A 3,327-nucleotide genomic window follows, 5' to 3' on the forward strand; every position below is an offset into this window, starting at 1 on the left:
TATTTCTCAGGTCCAGGACATGAGCTCTTGGCTGACTGGCCAGTCTAGGGACATGTCTGTCAGGGGTGGCCCATAAGGCTGCTTCTCAGGGGTGGGCATATGACTGCTTGGCTGGCCTGGGTGCATGTTTGCTGGGGGTGGCCCACAGGGCTGTTTCTATGATCCAGGACTTTGGTGCTGCTTGGCTGCCCTGGGAATATGTCTTACAAGGGTGGCCCACGAGGCTTCTTCTCAGGCCTGGGATGTAGGCACAAGGCTGCTTGGCTGGCCTGGTGGTATCTGTTGAGGGTGGGCCATGTTACTGTTTTCTTGTCCAGGACTTGACTGCATAGCTGCTTGGCTGGCCTGGGGGCGTGTTTGTCAGGAGCAGGTACAGGACTGTTTCTAAGTCTCATGACACAGCTGCACAGCTGCTCAGCTAGCCTGGGGGCATTTTTGCAGGGGATGGCCCATAGGGCTGTTTTGTAGGCCTGGGATGTGGGCACAGGGCTACTTGGCTGGCCTAGGGGTGAGTCCACTGAGGGTGTCCTGTGAGGCTGCTTCTCAAATCTGGAATACTGCTGCAAGGCTGCTAGGGGTGTACCTAACTAGGATGGCCTGTAGGGCTTTTTCTCAGGCCACAGACACAGCTGCATGGCAGTTCAGGTGGTCTGCAGATGTGTTTGCTAGGGGCAGTCCATGGGGCTACTTCAAAAGCCTCGATCACAGGTACACATACAGCTGTTTGGCCAGCCTGGGGGAATGCCTTCTAGGAGCACCCTGTAGGACTGTTTCTCAGGCCTTGATTGTGAGAATAGGGCCTTTGGGCAGGCTAGGGGTGTATCTGTGGGGATTGGGGGCTCTGCAGAGCTGTTTCTTGGGTCCTGAGTGTCAGTGTATATGCATAGCTCCTCCGCTGGCCTAGGGGTGTATCAGCTGCTCAGGGGCTTCTACTGCTTAGGGGAGAGCATGCCACAGTTTGGCCAGGTCAAGGGAAGGTTTGCACTGAGTGAGACTGCCAGGCTGATCTTCCAGCTGGAAGTGCATTGGCAGGGGTTGGTTTCCCTGCTATGCAGGGTCAGAGTCACAGCCAATCCTGGGCCCAGGCTCCACACAGCTGGGGTTGTGACATTCAGCTACCCTTATAGGCTTGGTGGAATGAAGAGGGAGTCCCAGTACTGGAGAAGTGCAATGGCTACTGGCCCCCAGGGCAGGAAGCACACCAGAGGTGGCTGTTGTCTCAAGATGGTGTCATGCTGCAGAAGCTTGGTTCACAGAGGGTGGGGGTGGGGAGTGCACCTAATCTGGGGCAATGCAGCTGCATGAATTCCTGGCAGTTCTCCAAACTGGGCTCAAGGCTTGTGAGGGATATGGGATTCTCCTGTTGTAAGGACTGTAGGTGTTTCTGGTGGCAAAGGAGGCTGGTGGAGATCTTCTGCTTACCTTTTCCCTGCAACACAAAGTCCCTACTAACTCTGAGCAGATCCTATCTGGGGAATAGTGGCCAGGTGGAGTAGGGTACAAGGTTGCAGTGGCCGGATGCCTCCATACTGTCCTCCTGAACTTCCAATCACCACAGCTGCATCTCCCCTCCCCTGCTGCACTCTAGTGCTCTCCCGTCAACACTCCAGTCAAATCTTAGCTTTCAATCCTTTAACATTTATTAATACTTGTTTTGTAGCCTAAAATGTGGTCTATTCTGGAGAATGTTCTATGTATACTTCAGGAAAATGTGTATTCTACTGTTAGGTGGAGCGTTCTGTATGTGTATTTAGGTCCATTGTTTTACAGTATTGTTCAAGTCCTCTAATTCCTTAGTAATTTTCTGTCTGGTTGTCCTATCCATTATTAAAAGAGAGATATTCTATACCTATTACTGTAGAACTGTATACTTCTCCCTTCAATTCTGTCAATACTTACTTTTTTTGGATTCTTGTGTTAGGTGCATATATGTTTATATTTGTTATACTTTCTTGATGAATTGACCCTTTTATCAATATATAGTGTCCTTTGTCTCTTGTAACAGTTTTTTTTTTACGTGAAGTCTATTTTGTCTAAAATTAGGACAGTCACCTCAAATCACTTCTGGTTACTTGCTGTTTTCATGGAATATCTTTTTCTAGCCTTTCATTTTCAACCTCTTTATCTTTAAATCTACAGGGAGCCTCTTATAGACAAGATGTACTTGGATCATTTTTTTTTTTAAATCCATATTCGCTAATCTCTGCCTTTTAGTTGGAGAGTTTATTTACATTTAATTATTGATAAGGATTTTCTCTTGCCATTTCGCTATTTGTTCTGTGTATGTTTGATAACTTTTTCTGTCCCTCATTTCCTCCATACTGCCTTCTTTTGTGTTGATTTTTTTTTTGTAGTGACACATTTCTATTCCATTCTCATTTAATTTGTGTATATTCTATAGATATTTCTTTGTGGTTACCACGGGGATTACATACAACACATTAAAGTTACAACAATATAACTTGAGTTGATACCAAGTTAATTTCAATCATATACAAAAAAAACCCTATTCCTATTTAGCTCTACCCATCCTTTTATGAATGTCACAAATTATATCTTTATGTACTATATGCCCAATAACATAGATTTATAATCACTTTTTAGGTGTTTATCTTTTAAATCCCCTAGAAAATAAAAAGTGGAGTTCCAAAACAAAATTATAATAATCTTTTATAGTAATCTTTTGTATTTGCCCATGCATTTACCTTTAATAAAAATCTTTCTGTCTTCATGTGGCTTTGAGTTGCTGTCTAGCATTTATTCATTTCAACCTGAAGAATTCCCTCGAGCATTTCTTGTAGGGCAGGTGTAGTGGTAATGTACTCCTTCGACTTTTATTTATCTGGGAATGTCTTAATCTCTCCCTCATTTTTGAAGAACAGCTTTGCCGGATAATTCTCAGTTGATGTTTTTAAATTTTAAAAGTTTTTAATTTATATATATATATATATAATTTTTTAACAAGAAAATCAAAGATGCCATCAGTTGTTTTTTTTTTCTCTTCCTTTCAGCACTTTAAATGTATCATCTCAGGCCGAGTGTGGTGGCTTATGCCTGTAATCTCAGCACTTTGGGAGGCTGAGGTGGGTGGATCACTTGAGGTCAGGAGTTTGAGACCAGCCTGGCCAACATGGTGAAGCCCTGTCTCTATTGAAAATAAAAAAATTAGCCGGGCATGGTGGCATTCGCCTGTAATCCTGGCTACCAAGGAGGCTAAGGCAGGGGAATCGCCTGAACCTGGGAGGCAGAGGTTGCAGTGAGCCGAGATTGCACTGCTGCACTCCAGCCTGGGCAACAGAGCAAGACTCTGTCTCAAGTAAATAAAAA

General features: G+C 44.5%; 1 annotated feature.

The window, feature by feature from the left end:
- Nucleotides 436-936: an enhancer, noted in NCBI's record as "H3K27ac hESC enhancer chr10:74741016-74741516 (GRCh37/hg19 assembly coordinates)". NCBI's record gives its function as "activates a minimal SCP1, AML or CMV promoter by ChIP-STARR-seq in naive H9 embryonic stem cells {active_cell/tissue: H9 hESC(naive)}" and the evidence as "EXISTENCE:reporter gene assay evidence [ECO:0000049][PMID:30033119]".

Source organism: Homo sapiens, chromosome 10 (genome assembly GCF_000001405.40).
Source record: "Homo sapiens chromosome 10, GRCh38.p14 Primary Assembly".
Taxonomy (NCBI): domain Eukaryota; kingdom Metazoa; phylum Chordata; class Mammalia; order Primates; family Hominidae; genus Homo; species Homo sapiens.